General features: G+C 43.9%; 1 protein-coding gene across 11 annotated transcripts in view, besides 1 other annotated feature; it reads right to left on the bottom strand.

The window, feature by feature from the left end:
* Window positions 1-17,156, bottom strand: part of CHN2 (chimerin 2) — a 367,738-nt gene that overhangs the window by 215,274 nt on the left and 135,308 nt on the right. For 3 of the 11 annotated variants that reach the window (XM_011515105.3, XM_017011722.2, XM_011515107.3), the window contains 2 exons: window positions 6,092-6,130; window positions 5,447-5,485 (listed from right to left, as the gene is read on the bottom strand). The exons of 4 other annotated variants lie outside the window; for them this stretch is intronic. Coding sequence is in view for 4 of the 7 variants with exons in the window: in XM_017011722.2 (XP_016867211.1) it covers window positions 5,447-5,485; window positions 6,092-6,130 (78 nt within the window). In the remaining 3 variants the exon portion in view is untranslated. Of the gene's footprint in view, window positions 1-1,511; window positions 2,656-5,446; window positions 5,751-6,091; window positions 6,131-17,156 lie in introns of those variants that run through there. 4 more of the 11 variants (XM_011515106.3, NM_001293070.2, XM_047419839.1 and 1 more) reach the window with 3 other exon arrangements.
* Window positions 9,923-10,700: an enhancer, noted in NCBI's record as "OCT4-NANOG-H3K4me1 hESC enhancer chr7:29327971-29328748 (GRCh37/hg19 assembly coordinates)". NCBI's record gives its function as "activates a minimal SCP1, AML or CMV promoter by ChIP-STARR-seq in primed H9 embryonic stem cells {active_cell/tissue: H9 hESC(primed)}" and the evidence as "EXISTENCE:reporter gene assay evidence [ECO:0000049][PMID:30033119]".

The following is a 17,156-nucleotide window of genomic DNA, read 5'->3' as shown; positions in this document are numbered from 1 at the left end:
CCCTGCTTCCCCTTTTTTCCCAATAAATTCAATTTTGCTCACCCTTCAAAGTATCTGAGAAAAAATAAGAGGCCTTGGTAAAAATAGTTATCCTTGCTGCACTTTATGCAAATAATCAGGCCCAGTATAAAACTAAAGTCTATTTTGCAAACAACTTAGTCCTATCATAATTTTTTTTTTAACAAAAATGAGGACTGGAGAAAGAGAGAAATTATGTTTCAAAACTTATCATACATTTGTCATTAAATTCTAAACTCATTAGTAGTTTTTAAGTTTTTGCCTACATTTTTAAACTAACCTGCTTGTTCTTGTAAACCAACCAGCAATCTCCAGCTGCAGCTCAGAAGGAACAAAAGGGATGAGGCATTTAAAAACCTGGATCGATATTCTAGTTCTAAGCAATTCTCCTGCTAATCCTGCCAGGTGATGGGGATAAATAGGATGCCCATTACTCGGAGGTTTCCTTTTTGGGAAAATGAAAGCAAGGGAGCTAACCAAAGCCAAGCACCGTGCACCCAAATCTCAGCAAGCATTACTGTAGCCACCAGTTACCTGGGCATGTCACAAGACATCCTTTTCTATCCCTTGTTGGAGAAGGACTAAGTTCCACAGCTTCACCTTAGCATTCGGCTTATAAGGAGTCCATGCAACCCCCCCGAAACACATTTTTGTCCCAAACTTAATTCCAAGCTTCGGGTCAAAGCCCTGGTCGCGGGGGAGGGGGGACGGGGGAAACTGGAGCTAAGAAATCCAAAGGCAAACAGTAACCTAGGTTAACAGAGCACAAGTGAGCATGGCTAATTCCTGCTGATGAAGCCAAGCCTCTTGTTTCATAAATAAGGGTGGTGCTACTATCTATGGCATAAATGAGGTCTGGGGAACTCCAAGGCTACTAACAGTAGTGGGGATAGAAACATAAGTGAGAGCAAATAATTCTTATGCTTTAGGCCGCCCTGCTTCATAGGTGAAAGCCGCTTTGGCACCCGTGGGTGGTGCCTGCCGAAGTCACCAAGGCCTCGGGGATGCAAGGAAGATGCTCTTCCTTCTCTCCCTCACGAACCCCAGGTATTTGATAGCAAAGAAGGGAACTAGGGACTCCTGCTCTCCTCTTTCTAGACGGGTAGCCATTCATCTTCAGTCTGTACCCCTTTCAAATGCATCCTGAACCCCTGGGACTCCTTTAAAAAACGCCTTCTTTTTTCCTCTCTCCTCCCCTGTCCTCTTTTCACAGATAGGTAATCGTGTCTCTGTTTAATGGGTCATTCCCCTCGGGTGCATCCTCCAAACTGGGAAAGGTTAATTTCCCAAGCCTTAAACTAGTTGGCTTAGGACTGGGCTCGGTGGGGAGGGAACCCAGAAGCCCAACATGCTGGCAAAAGGGTAACGTTTTTGTACCAGCCGGGCTTTTGGCCGCCCTCTCTCTGTGCAAACTACTAAAAGGCCTCGGGATTTTTGAGCTGTCCTTACCCTCCCCCCACCTTGTTTCGTTTTAATACATGTTTTCTAATAACCTGGTTTGTCTCTTCTCAACTTCAGGCCATCAAACTCCAAATGATCACGCAACCAGAGCCTCAGCTGATGGCCCCTTCTTCCGGGGATCCTCAGATCGGTCTTTGAGGGAGCTCTGACTGCCGTTTCCCCAAAACAGCGCCCCCTGTCAGCAGGAGGCTAAGATGGGTCTTCATCCTTATCCTTTCTAACTGCAGTCAGATGGACTTCTTCAGAGCGGAGAATGAGACAGCCAGGTGTAAAGGGGTCCCCAGAACACTAGGAGAATGGGGGGTGAGGCCACAGAATTTAGTGCCCTTTGCAGGGGCGAGGAGCCTGGCCCCTCCTGTTCCAGGGTGGAACCTGGGATTCAATCTGTAAGGTGGGAAACCGACTAGCAGGAGTCTTGCTCCGCTGAGGGTCCCTGTTTCCCCTTTTTTTCCTTTTCACCCAATAAATTCCATTTTTCTCACTCTTCAAAGTGTCTTTGAGCCTAATATTTCATGGTCTTGTAACAAGAACCCTGTCTTTACCTGAACTAAGAAGAATGTCCTACAACGTTAGGACAGATCCCCTTCTTAATCCAGAGGAGCCATTAACAGAGCATCCTCCTGGACCTGCCCAGCTCCCAAATGCAAATCTCCCCTCCAGCCAGGATCCTGTCATAGAGGTAAGTTTGTGCATGAATTCAGGTTACAGGCAAAGTGTTTACCCCTAAGAAGTCACTCTGTACCTCTGCAAGACAATTCATAGTAAGTTCATTAAACATCTGGCTGTAGTTATGCCCTTGAGGACTGCTAAATAGATTTAGAGCACTTTATCTCTTCTGTCCCTCATTTTTTCAATGGAGTACACATAAGCTATGAGAAAGAAGCACTTTTAAAAAGTATTCAATGAAAGGAAACCCTGCCCTATAACATGCAAATACCTTCAAGGCCAAAGCTAACTGAGTCTGTTTGTTAGGCAAATGAAGCTAACTGAGTCTGTTAGGGAAATGCTCTCTTGAAGGTACCCTTCCTCTTCTCTGGAGTATCTGACATCTCTCTATTGTTTTACTCCACAGCACTCAGAAACTACAAGTCATTTACCCAGTATCATTGAGAATCCTTACAAATACAGCATTTTAGCATATGCTTCAATAAAACACATTAGATATAGCTAGAATTTTTAAAAGGTGATTACGGCTGGGCATGGTGGCTCACACCTGTAATCCCAGCACTTTGGGAGGCCAAGGCAGGTGGATCACCTGAGGTTAGGAGTTCGAGACCAGCCTGGTCAACATGGCGAAACCCCATCTCTACTAAAAATACACAAAATTAGCTGGGCGTGGTGGTGGGCGCCTGTAATCCCAGCTACTTGGGAGGCTGAGGCAGGAGAATTTCTTGAACCTGGGAGGTGGAGGTTGCAGTGAGCAGAGATCACGCCACTGCACTCCAGCCTGGGCGACAGAGCGAGACTCTGTCTTAAAAAAAAAAAAAAAAATGGTGATTACACACGGACAGACCTTTCTCTTTTTAGAGTAATCCTGGCCTAGGGCTTCGCAGCTACAACACATATTTATTCAACATGGACAAGCCTGTGGTGCCCACAGACAGCTCAGCTGCCAAGATTGCACCAACTCTCCTTCCTCTGGGACCCAATGCCCAACATCTCAGGCATCAGTGAAACCTCCCACAAGACCCTGCTGGCTCAAGACCCTTTGCCAATTTGCCTAATCCCCTCTGCTGGCAAAGGCAGTAATGCCACAGAGGCCAGATCTGCATTAGTCAAAAACTTGCTTATCAGGGGCTCACTTAGAGCCCCCAAAAGCACTTGCCTGCTCTTACTAACAAATATTATGAAAAGAAGTAAGTAGGCTCAACAGACAAGTCTCACTGGGATTTGACCATGCTACCAGATGAAAACATTGGTAGAAAACACCTCAATAACCATAAAGCGATTTCCTCACAGTTTTAACTCTCTCATCTTTTTTAATTTTTTTTTTTTTTAAATAGATGGGTGGGCTTGAACTCCTGGGCTTAAGTGATCCACTTGCCTTGGCCTCCCAAAGTGCTGAGATCACAGGCGTGAGCCACCATGCCTGGCCCTGATTTTTTTTTTTAAAGGGGTTGTTTCCATTTCATTACAATTCTGAGTGCCTTTAGTGTCCAAGGCATTTTCTAGGTGCTGAAAATACCAAAAAAGTATGATATAATCTTGCCCTCAATGGGTTTATAATCTGTGTGTGTGTGTGTGTGTGTGTGTGTGTGTGTTCACAGCTAAACTGAGGGATATAGTCGGCCCTTCGTATCCCTGGGTTCCACATCTGTGGATTCAACCAACCACAAATCAAAAATATTTGAAAAAAATGGATGGTTCCATCTGTACTGAACATGTACAGACTTTTTCTTTGTCATTATTCCCTAAACAATACAGAGTAACAACTATTTACATAGCATTTACATTGTATTTGATATTATAAGTAGTCTAGAGATGATTTACAGTTTATGGGAAAATGTGTGTAGGTAATATGCAAATACTATGCTATTTTATATAAGAGACTTGAGCATCCATGGATCTTGGTATCTGTGGGGGGTCCAGGGAACCAATCCTGCAAAGATACAGAGGATGACTGCCCTGTGGCTTGCTTGTTCTAAAGAGCATAGCACACAGCGGGATCCATGAGGACTGCAAGGGTCTGGGAAGGCTTCACACACAAGTCTGCATTTTTGCTGGGCCTTGAAGGGAATGGAATTTCAGCAAGCATAAATAGAGAAGGAATTTTTGAAGACAAAAACATACGTGAGAACAGGCAGGGAGGGGATGGTGCTGTGTGCACTCAATGTGCTGACACGTGTGGGGAAAATAAAGTGGTGACCTGTGACATTTCTACCTGTACAGTAGGCCTCAAAGACAGAAAGCAGGGATTTGCTGCATTTTGAGCAGAGTCTCTCAGGTCTACACTTATAATGCCTCTGAATCAAACGTGCTGACTTAAGATCTCAGCTGCTTCTCTCTGTTTCTGTCCTTGTCTTTCAACGCGGCACAAAAATGGTATCTTCTTGCGGTTACAAGGCAGGCACGAAGGACATATGCCCAATTTACAGTTTTGAGAAAGTGTTTCTGTGGATACAGAAAGGCTGGCAAAATAAGAAAGGCATGCCACCTTCCAAATATTTGTTGTTTTTGTCCCCAAACACCCCTGTTTTTCCCAAATCATGTAACTGTAAGAAAATTATAAATCTTTTAAATCCCTGTACAAAGACTCCCAAAAGTATTTCTCCAAGTACCCTACTAGCAGTCTCGTGAATATTCATTCATTCATTCAACTAATATTTATTATGCACCCATCACATACTAGGCACTGTTCCAGGTGCCGGAGATACAACAGAGAACACAACAGATAAAAATTCCCACCCTCAGGCCGGGCGCCGTGGCTCACACCTGTAATCCCAGCACTTTGGGAGGCCGAGGCGGGCAGATCACGAGGTCAGGAGATCGAGACCATCCTCGCTAACACGGTGAAACCCCGTCTCTACTAAAAACACAAAAAATTAGCTGGGCGTGGTGGCGGGCGCCTGTAGTCCCAGCTACTCGGGAGGCTGAGGCAGGAGAATGGCGTGAACCCGGGAGGCGGAGCTTGCAGTGAGCCGAGATCGCGCCGCTGCAGTCCAGCCTGGGCGACACAGCGAGACTCCGTCTCAAAAAAAAAAAAAAAAAAAAAAAAAAATTCCCAGCCTCGTGGAGCTTATATGCACAGAGACTGACAATAAATGAAATACATACATAAAACACATAGTGAGCGAGACAATGAGATGTGCTAGGGGGAAACAGTGTGGGAAAGGAGCGCAGGTAGCACCTGTGCCTTTCAAGTACGTGCTTGAATGGACAGAGGGACGGAGAGCCATGCGGACAGCTAGGAAGAGCACATTCGAAGCAGGAGGCACAGCAAGTTCGGAGGCCCTGAAACACAGCCTACCTGTTTGCGGGAACTGCAAGGAGGCCTGTGTGTCTGGAGCTGAGTGAGGGAAGGAGAGAGGAGCGTGATGTAAAGACAGAGAAGTAACAGTGACCAGAAGTCTGAGGGATGATAGTGCAGTTTGTGGAAGCCAGAGGAGCACCTTCAAGGTGGAGGAAGTGATCAACATTCGCAAGCGTGGCTGAAAAGCCAAATAAGGCAAGGACTGAGAGTGGACCTTGGAGTTAATATGGGGGGGGGGGGGGGCATTAGCTGCCCTCAGAAGAAGGGTGTAGGTAGAGTGATGGGTCAAAGCCCGACAGTCCTTAATTCAGGGGAAAATCGAGGATGCAGGAGGGAGAAGGGGCCATTGTCAGCAGGGCCAAGGGGACAAGGTGGGAGGGAAAAGGATTTAATGGACCAGTGAATGGGGCCCTTAGGCAGCAGCAGGGACAATCACCTTCAGAAACAGCAGGGAAGGCAGAGCATCTGGGCCTTGAGATTGGTAGCTGCAAACGAGTGCTGCCAATCCAGACTCTCTCCTGACAGCTCTGTCTTTGCAATGGAAGCGGGGAGTGGGGCATGTGGCAGGTGAGGAAGATGAGGCTCAGCATGCAGAGGCTGGCTCTGAGTGCAAAGACGGAGGAGTGACATCATCTGACTTACATTTTGGAAGCTCTCTCGGGCTTCTGGGTTCAGAATAGACTGAAGAGAGGCAAGAGTGGAAACAGCCAGTTAAGAGGTTATTGTAATCCGTGACAGATATATTTTCTTCCCCAAGACTAGGGTGGTGACAACAAAAGTAGAAAAATAATCAGATTCTGAACATATTTTGAATACAGATAAAGGTGGAAGAGTCAATGAAATGCAGGGTGTTTTACTTTTCCCCCCAAACCAATACAACAAAACCAAGAGATGTTATTACAGCATTGAAACAAAAATCAATAACATTTCAGTCGCTTTTACTGACAACGATCCAGTTTTTAACTAGCAAATATTCCAGAACTGTGGCAGTATCAATAAGTGATGCCAGTGAATACATAAAAATCTGTTGGCATTGCAAAGCATTATAGAAGCGGAAGCTGTAGTTAAAAGCAAGGCATCTGTGTCTGTTCCAATATGCCAATTGGCAGGGGTGAATCAATAAATCACAGAAGTAGTGTAGAAAAATATTTCAAGCCTTCCAAGATCAAAGAATAGATTGTAAAATATTAACTTGATGTCCTTTTAACTATTTTTTCTCAATATTTATTAGTGTTTGACCTCCCTTGAAACCTGAGTTCCATTATAAGCTCTTTTGGTAAATGGATTGAAAGGTTGTCTCGGAGCACTCCAGCTTCCCTAAGTATTTTCTATTCTCCAGTGAAATACTATTAGTCTGCATTTTATAGTAATGCTCCTCAGCATATCAAAAACATGCATCTCTGTTCAACACAGAGAAGAATTAAGGGTGCTGGCCCGTCTCTCGCTCCATCCTCTGCCTCCCATAACTAAATGTATGTAGATACTCCTACAGATAAAGTGTGGATATACAAATTTGCACATCATGGTAAAAGTGTCATAAAATCCTCCGCCCCGGTAGTTCATAAGGCCTACTTTAAACATATTGAATTAAATATTTAGGGCTTGCAACAGCCAAAATATAGGAGGAGCCAAGTCCTTCTCTTTGTATTTATAGCAGGCAGTAATACAAACAAAACTTCCGAGAGTAAAGGGCAAAAGTCCTTCCTGCTCTTTCCCTATCTCAGGTTTAGTGTGGAAAACATTCGGTGCTAACTTTTGCTACACAGATACTCTGTGCCATCCTAAAGGGTATACAGGATAGATTCATGTAAGAATCGTGGCAGTTTTTGATCAAACAATTCAACTTCTAGGATTTAATACTTAAAAAAAACATTAAGGATGTGCAAAGCTTTAGCCACAAGAATGTTCATTGCAGCATGGTTTATTAGAAAGAAAAACTGGTATCAACCTAAATACGTAACAATAGTTGACTGGTTAAAAAAAAGAAAGTTCCATCCATGCAACTGAACTATGCATAGCCATTAAAATAATGTCAAATACTTAAAGATATGAAATATGTCCATGGTAGATTTTGAAATTTAATGGGAACAGTCTGACCACATTTAAAAAGAAAATACATATTTACATGTATATATGTACATAAAAGGCAATTAGAAGCATTACCTTTGTTACAGTAGGGAGTCAGGCAGACACAAGCAGGGCAGGAGAGCACCCCTCCACCACCAACCGGGAATGTCAGGAGACCATCAGGTGATGGTCAGGCAGTTGTTAATCTGTCTCTTAAATAATAATTGGTTGCAGCTGGTGCCAGGGAACGGCTGGCTCCCAATAGATAGAAAACACCTGAAACTGGTGATCAGCTGCTTCTCAGTAAGATCTTAGAAGTTGGGTGAGTGGGCCCAAGCATGCGCACTAAGAGGCAAAATGGTGGCATTTAACTGGTATATGACCTTCCTCTAGAAACACTCCGCTGGTAAGGGAAAAGCACCTCAAGTGAGCATGGGTACAACTCCAGTAAACACACTGCACCTGTGGCCCCTCCCAAGTGCTGGCGGGACACTGTGCATGCAAACAACCCACCCCCAGGGAAGAATAAGGGAAGAAGAGATGCAACCCTCGGAAAGCATGCCAACATATAAACCCCAAGTCAAAGGTCTAACCACACGCTTGAATCTCTCAAGTTGCCTGCTTGGCTCTCCTCTGAGTGTCCTTTACTTCCTTTTGTTCCTGTTCTAAATTTTTTTAATAAATTTTCACTCTCGCTCTAAAACTTGCATTGGTCTCTCACTGTGCCTTATGCCCCTTGGTTGAATTTTTTCTTCTGAGGAGGCAAGAACTGAAGTTGCTGCAGACCCGAATGGATTTGCCACCATTAACACTTCTAAATGTAGAATTTGCAGGCAGGTCATCCATTTTGCTTATCTATACTTTGTTCTAATTTGTCCATAAATATCATCTTATTACTTGTGTAATTCGCAAAGTACCAGTAAAACTTACTAAACGTTATTCATGGTGGCACACAAGTCTCACGGGAATACTGCCTGGCCAAACAAAACCCCTATTGCTCCTGACCTTGCTGGCTTTCTAGATATGTGGCTGTGTGTGAATCTAAGCCGTAAGATGGCCCAGAGATGGTCTTCTTCCATGAATCTCTGACAGTCTGCTCAGCAATCAGGCTGACTATATTCTTCAGATATCAAATGGAAAGAAATGGGAACAGCAGCAGAGATTCGCTATCCACAGAACCACAAGGAACAGAGCGATAAACACAAGCTTCAGGTGGGATGTGCCACAGTGCTGGGTTCCTTTGCATAAAAGCAAAAGGGACTGTTCAGAGACAAAATATAGCCAGAACATCTGTTGTTAGGGAATAAAGGTATGCAGAGGCCAAGAGCAAAGGCCCAGAAAAAGAACGTGAATGCAGCATGTTTGGTCAAACGGTCCTTGTGCTTTAAAACAGTGCAGTTAGGGAAATGCCAGGTAATTTCAGGAACAAGGCCCAAGCAATTTACAAAGATTCCTTTAAATTAAGAGTGAAGTCCCTAAAGATCCAAATTCTAATACCTTGAACTTCAAACAAACTGCTTTAAAAGCAACACTAAAACCTTCAAATGCAAAGTAGATTAAGTGCATGCTCCATCTGTAAGAGCTTACTTACCACAAACTCAATTACTTGTTTCAAAATGAGATACAGGTTGGTTTGGATTTACTGATAGGCTTGTCCTGATAACTAAGAATGACAGCTGTAAGGGGAGAAAGCTTCAGTTCTCTTTTTTGGTAACATTTAAAGTCAAACCTCCGGGTAAATGCATATGTAAGTAGCCATGCTTTGCAAAGCAAAACAGTGCGGCGTTGATAGGCAAAGTCAACACCCTATTGACTTTTATCTTTTGTGCCATCTATTTCAATGTAGGAAGTGCTGGGGCATATTTGTCTTTGAAAATAGTCAAGTTCCCCATCCCCCACATCTACCTCCACCCCGCAGGATAATGCTTGTTCCAAAGAAGTATTTTCTTTCCGCCATCACCCTCTGTTCAGTTCTAGAATTTGCTCTTATCCAATGTTCGCCTGTTTTCCAGTTCTGAGCAGAGGGCAAAGCATGTGTGCCTCCCTCTCCCGTCGGCTTACTCATGCCTAACCCGTAGTCCTGCTGGCCTTTGGGATGCTGCCAGCATCCCCCTCTCGGAGACATCTGTTGCCTTGCTTAAACCAAGAAGCCTCCCAAGCACGTGACGGGGCCATGCAGAATTAGAGAGTGCCACCTCCAACAAGAGGCGTATGTCCATCTTGCCTCTCCCTTGTCATTTCCTCCTCTAGCCTCAGCCTCAACAAGTGGCCGAGCCTCACACAAGCTGTCAGGGACAGATGCTATGTGAAAAGAGGAAATTGGACTCAAAGATGCTACAGCTTTTTTAATTAAGTCCAACCTACAAGCCAAATAGCGAGGCATGAAATGAATACTTACTTGCAAATAAGCACCACGTTTCTCAAAAACAAATGCGTTGGTGCGGGTTGGTAGGCACCTCCTTAGCTTTCTCAAAAATTGTATTGTTCCTCATTCAATGCCTCAGATAGTTTCACCTCGGCAGTGGGAAGTGCATTTTGTGCTGGAACCTGGGCATCCTAAGTTTCCTTTTGTGATTTTCTTCCTCCGGCATCCCAGGGCTAGTTGAGTTGGCACGATGAAGCGTGTCCACACACAGCCAAATGCTCAATCTCATCTATTTCTCCCTTGCCCCTCTCACTCCTGCAAATCCCCTGAGTGCCCACTACATGCCTGGCCTGGCTTTCCATTCTAAGAAAAAGGAAGACTAACACTGTTGTGGCTTCTGTCTTCCCAGCCCTCTGAACTGGTTCTACTTATTTGCTTTGTCTCCATTTCTTTGTCTCCATTGTCTCTAGTTTACTATTTGTTTTCAATTCTGGTTCCTTATTGTTCCTCTCTGTGTGCTCCCTGCTAATTAAAGCTGACTAGAGCCACTGCTGCTATTCTCAGCTGAAATGGCCAAGCCCCTTGATTATTAAGACAGTGAGGACTCAGGAAGACCACATGGATTTTTGAGACAGAAGAAAATGGGGGGAAAAAAAGAGTAAACAAATCCCTTTGGATATAGAAAGAAAAGAGATGGGAGTAACCCTAAAATATACACCACAAATTCTAAGGAATCACAAAACGCAGATGAGTCTCATTAACAGCTACATTTTTCTAATTTCTTTTGCATCATTTCACAACCACAGAGAAAATTAAACATGTTATTTAAGATGCTTAAGAAAGCTCTTACACACTTCAAAATTAATAAGGAAGGAACCTCAGCTATCACATCCTGCCTGTTTTACAGACTGGGAAACCAGCGAGAATTGACTTGTCCAAGGCCACACAGCCAAGCAGTTGCTGAACCCAATGGAGATTCCCAGGTTTTCTTATTTGCTCCCTATTCCCACACACAGCTCCAGCCAACTACCCACCTTCCCCATTCAGTGTGTTTTTAAATTTTTATTTATGTCTAATATACTAATATATTTATTTTAATTTTTCATAGTTTATTTTTTCATATTGTCATTTTAAATACTGCATGAATTGGAAATAAAGGACATAAAGTATATGCTTGTTATGAAAATCTAATTGCAGTGTTCTGAGGTTCCTTAAATAATTGTGACATGCAGTATTTTTTAAAGACATGCTGAAGACCAAATTGCAAACAAATGCAAGCAAGAAGATAGGAAGAAGAAGGAAATTAGCCAGTTCCAAGACCTTGCTCATTGCTGGACAATAATCAAGAAAGGAATATCTAAGTTTGGATTATTTCTATCTTAGGGTCATTAAGGAAGACAAAATTTAAACCTGAATATGAATTTGATTTCACTGAGTCTACTAGTTAGGACTCTTTGGGTTAAGTGACAACAAACACAACCCAAACGGACTATCAGCAAAAGAAAATTTATTGTTCTTTGAGCTGAAAAAAATCAAGGGGTGGGTCTCATTTTAGTCATGTCTTGGCATAGGGCTCAAATGATGACTAACACTTGTATAGTACATACCAAATGCTGGGTGCTGTTCTCAGCATTTCACATGACTCACCTGACCCTCACTAAGACTCCATGAGTAGGTATCATAACAATTCCCACTTCACAAATGAGTAAACTGAGGCACAGAGACCAATCTGGATAGAGTGACCACATTTGTAAGTGGCAGAACAATTCAAACCCAAGAAATCTGGCTGAGTCTAGAATGTAGTCACTTCCCCCTCATGCCCCCAGAGTTCAGTTTGCCTCCATCTCCCATCTCCACTTTCTCTGTGTTAGTGCCATCCTCTTTCAGATCCCCACTTCCTGGGGGCAAGGTGGCTCAGATGGCTTGAGCCTCAAAACCTGAAAAGTTCAGTGAAGAAGACCAAGCGTATTTTTGCCAGGAGACTCAGCAAAAGTCTCTCTGCCCTCTTGGTGCCTTGAATCAAACAAGGGAGAATATAAGGTTCTGATTGGCCAGACCTAAGCTGCATACCCGTATAAAGTAGAGCATAGAGGGGACTCCACCAGAAACAAATGGACTAAAAATACAGGAGAAGAAAAGGGTCCCCATCCCCAGGGGAAGGGAGATAGTTATTAGAGATGGTAAATGAATACTAGGTGAATGCTGCACTGTCAAATTTAACCACAACTAAAACACTTCTTTTTCAATGATCAAACAGAAGCTCTTGGTCTTCAGGTAGCATAGGTATCCTATAAGACCCATGGCAACTTTCACGTTTATATAAATGAATGTGAATAAAGGAGAAAGGTATATGAAAAAATAAACCAAGACAGGCTTGTGATATATTTATAATCGCAGACTATCTCCACCAAGCCCACTCATATGGGCTTTATGGTCTCTCTAAAGGAATTGTGGAATCACAGCATCTCCACTTTAGGGTGGATCTGGGAACTCATCCATCCCAAGATGCCACATGGAGCAGTGCTGTCAAGAACAATGACCCCACTTTACAAAGCAAGTCTTATTTTTCCCCTTACCCTCTGTTTTAATATAAGGTGTGGCTGGTAGAGAAATGGTGAAATGAGAGGAAGAAAGGGTAAGGCTGCAGAAGACGCTGGCTTCGCCCCTGCCCCACGGAAACCTCAGAGGTAAACACAGCCTTGTCCCTTCATCTCCCTCCCCACCCCATCCCCACATGCAGACCCCACCTTTCCCTGCACCCCTCCCACCTATGCAACTTGTCCTGACTTTTACACTGGAGCCCTACCCTATTTCTTATGATAAGATACCCCAAAAAGATTCCTCCTCTGAAATAAAGATGAGGCCTGCCACAGTCATTTAGGTACTCCAAGGTTCACTGGTATCCTCTAAGTAGTCTTTACCTTTTCCCAAGGGAATCTGAGTAAGGGGAAAAAAAAAAAAGATGAGAGAGAATGGAATCATGGGGGGCGGGGGGGAATGGTGTTTATCTAAGGAGGAGCAAACTATAAAAGGGTGGGTATGAGGCACATCCTCGAAAAGAGGCTCCTACATGTTTGTGGGCATGCAGGAGGAGCTCTAGTGACCTCCTGGCTTGGGAAGGCAGAGAAATGGACTTAATGCCTGTACTTGGCGGCCAGGAAATAGTTCATTATGTTTCTGGTGGTACCTTTATGAGTTGGATCACTGCCATTAGATGATACAATTAGTTGGATTTGTAAGTTTTTGAAGGACCCAAACACTGGGAATAGTCATCAATATGGTGCTAGAGGGCTCTGACCTCAGCCCTGTCTGGTTCCAAAATTCTGTCAATAACTCCGATGAGGATATTTATGGCATATTTGTCCAATTGAGAGTTGAGGTGATGCTAGGGAGAAGAGCAATATTGTTGGATGACATAATCAGGATCATCCAAGATATGCACCAGATCCCTGATGAGACACAATGGTGATGAATGTGAAGCCTGTATTCAGGTTAAAATAAACACACCTAAGTACATGTTGGTGAAGACATACCCTAGCAACCACATATGTGAAAAGGGAATTTTGATTGACTCTGCGTGTGGTATGAGTCAGCACTGCATTGTGGTTGCGAAAAAGCAAATGTGGTCTAACGCTGCATTCATGGAAACAGAATATTTAGACTGTGGCTTATGCTAGGCTTGCCGTATTTTATGTGAAGCAGACCACACCAAAAATTTTGTGCTTAGTTCCTGACCTGACTCTAAGAGAAACACAGGCAAACACTAGGAGAGAAGGGACTGGCAGCTCCTTTGTGGTCATGGAGATGTTTTGTCTGGAAAATAGAAGGCTTCCATGAAACGTGAGAACTGTCTTTAATGAGTGATGCATTCTCCTATGGAAAAAGAGTTCCATTTGCTCTGTGTATCACCTATGACTGGACCTGGACCAATAGTGGGAATTACGGTGAGCCAGATTTCAATGCCACAGAAGACTTTCCAAAGGAACAAGGTGTCAGGATGTTGTAGAGGGAAATGTAAAGATGAGTTGTTGGATCAGATCAGTGGTTCTCAAACTGTGTTCCCCAGAGATTCCTCAAGGAGAGGAGTGCAAAGAACAGAAGCGGCTCACACACCCCACAGCAAGTAGAGCAGCTCCCCCAGTCTGCTTGCACAGTGGCCATCTGCTGCAAAGGAAAAGTTTGATTAAACAACTGGGCTAGATCAAAGTTCCCCATTCAACCCTGAAGTTCCAGGATTTAGTGATTTTTGAGATGACGTCTCTGAAGAGGCTGCCTGGAGAAGGGAGGATGCATGTGAGCTCTGCAGCCAGAATCACGAGGTTCAGATCCTTGTGCATTCATCTGTTATTGCTACAGAACAAATTAACACAAACTTAGCAGCTTAAAACGACACCCACTCACTAGCTCACAGTTGCTGTGGGTCAGAAGTCCAGGTGTGGCTTGGCTGGGTCCTCTGCTCCAGGTTTCCCAGGTTGAAATCATGGAGTCAGCTAGACCGTGTTCCTTTCTTGAGCTCAGGATTCTCCTCTCAACTCATGTGGTTGTTAGCAGAATTCACTTCGCTGAGACTGATGACTGAGGTCCCCATTTCCTTGCTAGTTGTTGGCCAGGGACCACTCTGAGCAACCTTAAGCCTATTCTCAGGTTCTGGCCACGTGGCCCCTTCCCATAGGCTGTTCACAACAGGCTGTTTGGTTCTTCAGGGTCAGCAGAAGAATCTGGAGCTTCAATTATCTTTCTTTAGGGAAAACCTGGAGCCTCTTTTAAAGAGCTTGCCTAGGCCAAATGTGGTGGCTCATGCCTGTAATCCCAGCACTTTGGGAGGTCGAGGCAGGCAGATCACCTGAGGTTAGGAGTTTGAGACCAGCCTGGCCAACGTGGTGAAACCCCATCTCTACTAAAAAACAAAAATTATCCAAGCATGGTGGTGCACACCTGTAATCCCAGCTACTTGGGAGGCTGAGGCAGGAGAATCGCTTGAACCCAGAAGGTGGAGGTTGTAGTGAGGGGAGATCGCACCACTGCACTTCAGCCTGGGACAGAGCCAGACTCCGTCTCAAAAAATAAAAATAAAATAAGTAAAAATACAAAAATTAGCTAGGCGTGGTGACGCATGTCTGTAGTCCCAGCTACAGACAGGGAGGGAGGCTGAGACAGGAGAATCGCTTGAACCTGGGAGGCAGAGGTTGCAGTGAGCCACTCCAGAGTGAGACTGTGTCTCAAAAAAAAAAAAAAAAAAAAAAAAAAAAAAGAGCTTGGCTGGGAACGGTGGCTCCTGCCTGTAATCCCAACATTTTGGGAGGCAGAGGCAGGCGGATCACGAGGTCAGGAGTTCAAGACCAGCTTGGCTAACATAGGGAAACCCCATCTCTACTAAAAATACAAAAATTAGGCAGGCATGGTGGTGCATGCCTTTAGTCTCAGCTACTCGGGAGGCTGAGGCTGGAGAATTGCTTGAACTCGGGAGGTGGAGGTTGTGGTGAGCCAAGATTGTGCCACTGCAGTCCAGCCTGGGCAACAGAGCAAGACTCCATCTCAATAAAAATGACAATAAAAATAAAAATATAAATATAAAGAGCTTGCATATTTAGGTCAGGCCCATCCCGGACGTCTCCCTTTTGATTAACCCAAAATCAACTGATTAGGGACCTTACTTATTATCTGCAAATATCTCTTTATCCTTGCTGTATAATGTAACCTAATAAAGAGAGTGAAATCCCATCATTTTTACTAGTCCTGTCCACATGGAAGGGGAGAGGATTCTACAGATCGTGTATACCAACCGAGGGGAAACTTGGGGGCAGACCATCTTAGAATTCTGCGAATCAAACCTAGCTTTTCCGCTCAGTGCTTCTGGCCTTGGGTGAGCTGCTCAGCTACGTCCTCTGTCTAGTGGGGAAAATGATTTCTCAAGGGGTTGCTAAGGCAGCTAAACAAGTTAATACACAAAGCACTCAGAACAGTCACCTGCCACCAGGTAAGCACGTAAGGAAAGCTCTAAGGTACTGTTATGCAGGAATACACGGTATTCCCAGGACTGACTGACTCCAGTGGAGGTCAGACATCGACGCACTCTCAGGCAGAAGCAGCACGAGGGGGTCAGATAACACAGCTTCCAGGAGAGGTGGCTTCTCTTTTCTCTCCTACTGGCCAGCTGTCCTCTTTGCTGCCACTTTTGCTATTTGGCTTTCACTTCCTCTACCACTCGGGCCATCCACCACCTGCTGATATTGTTCCTTTTCTCTGTTTTCATTTTCTTCTTCTTCTCCAATCTTTTTCATCTTTCTCTGTTGCTTCTTTCACGATTCCTATTTTTTACACTGGAAGATTTATCGTTATTAGCTATTGCCAGCAAATAAGATTATGTCTTTCTCTGTCGCGTGATCTTCATGGCATTTGTTCTTTTTGTTAGTATAAACTGCTCACAGGCTCTTAAAATATTTTTTAAAGCCTATATTTGGTATTGCTTCAGATGATTAAAGGTATCAAATTTATTTTCCCTTTAGGTAAAAAATTCTCCTTTACTGAACAGATACATCAGAAAATAATGTTTTATCTTTCAAAATAATTCAGCATTGGAATTTGCTTTTAATAGAAAAATCCACCAGTACAGTTAAAACATTATTTATTTTATAACAATTATTTTTCAAAAACAATTTTCAGGAACGCTTCTATAGTGCAAAGTGAATCATCCCTGGTTTGCAATTTAGTTTGTCAATGTAACATATAATGAGCCACTAGCAAAAGGAAAAAGGAAAGCTATTTCAGTCTGCGAAAGTCCATGTAGACAGCCAACAGCTGTAGCTGTAAGCAGTATTTAAAAACATGACACATTTCAGCACTGTACCCTGCACATAGTGGGCACTCAGTGGAAACTTCTGGAGTTAAATTGAGATGTGTCAATCACAATCTGTTGAACTGAACTGAGGAGCTATCTCAATAAGAGACAACCATGAATCCCTGTCATTCTTTCTTTCACCTAATACCAAACTCCAATGTGAAACAGAATTTACAACACAAACAGAAGAACCAGTAGCAATGAACACAGCTTGTATGGACAAATGAGCTGACATGCATTATCAGCTACATCTTCACTGCTTGTCGAAAACCAGATGAGGTCATAGTTCCCATCCCGGCCTGTTCTATCACGCCACTGCCGAGTCAACACAACTGTCTCTATGTTATTTATGGAGGAGGCGGGAGGGAGTCCTGAGTGTTCCCACCACCCAGTGCCGAGGCAGCAGAAGCTGTTAGCTGACATCCTCTGACGCACCG

Source organism: Homo sapiens, chromosome 7 (genome assembly GCF_000001405.40).
Source record: "Homo sapiens chromosome 7, GRCh38.p14 Primary Assembly".
Lineage (NCBI taxonomy): Eukaryota > Metazoa > Chordata > Mammalia > Primates > Hominidae > Homo > Homo sapiens.
Note: the sequence above shows the minus strand (reverse complement) of the source record. Positions and strands in the feature narration are given on the sequence as shown.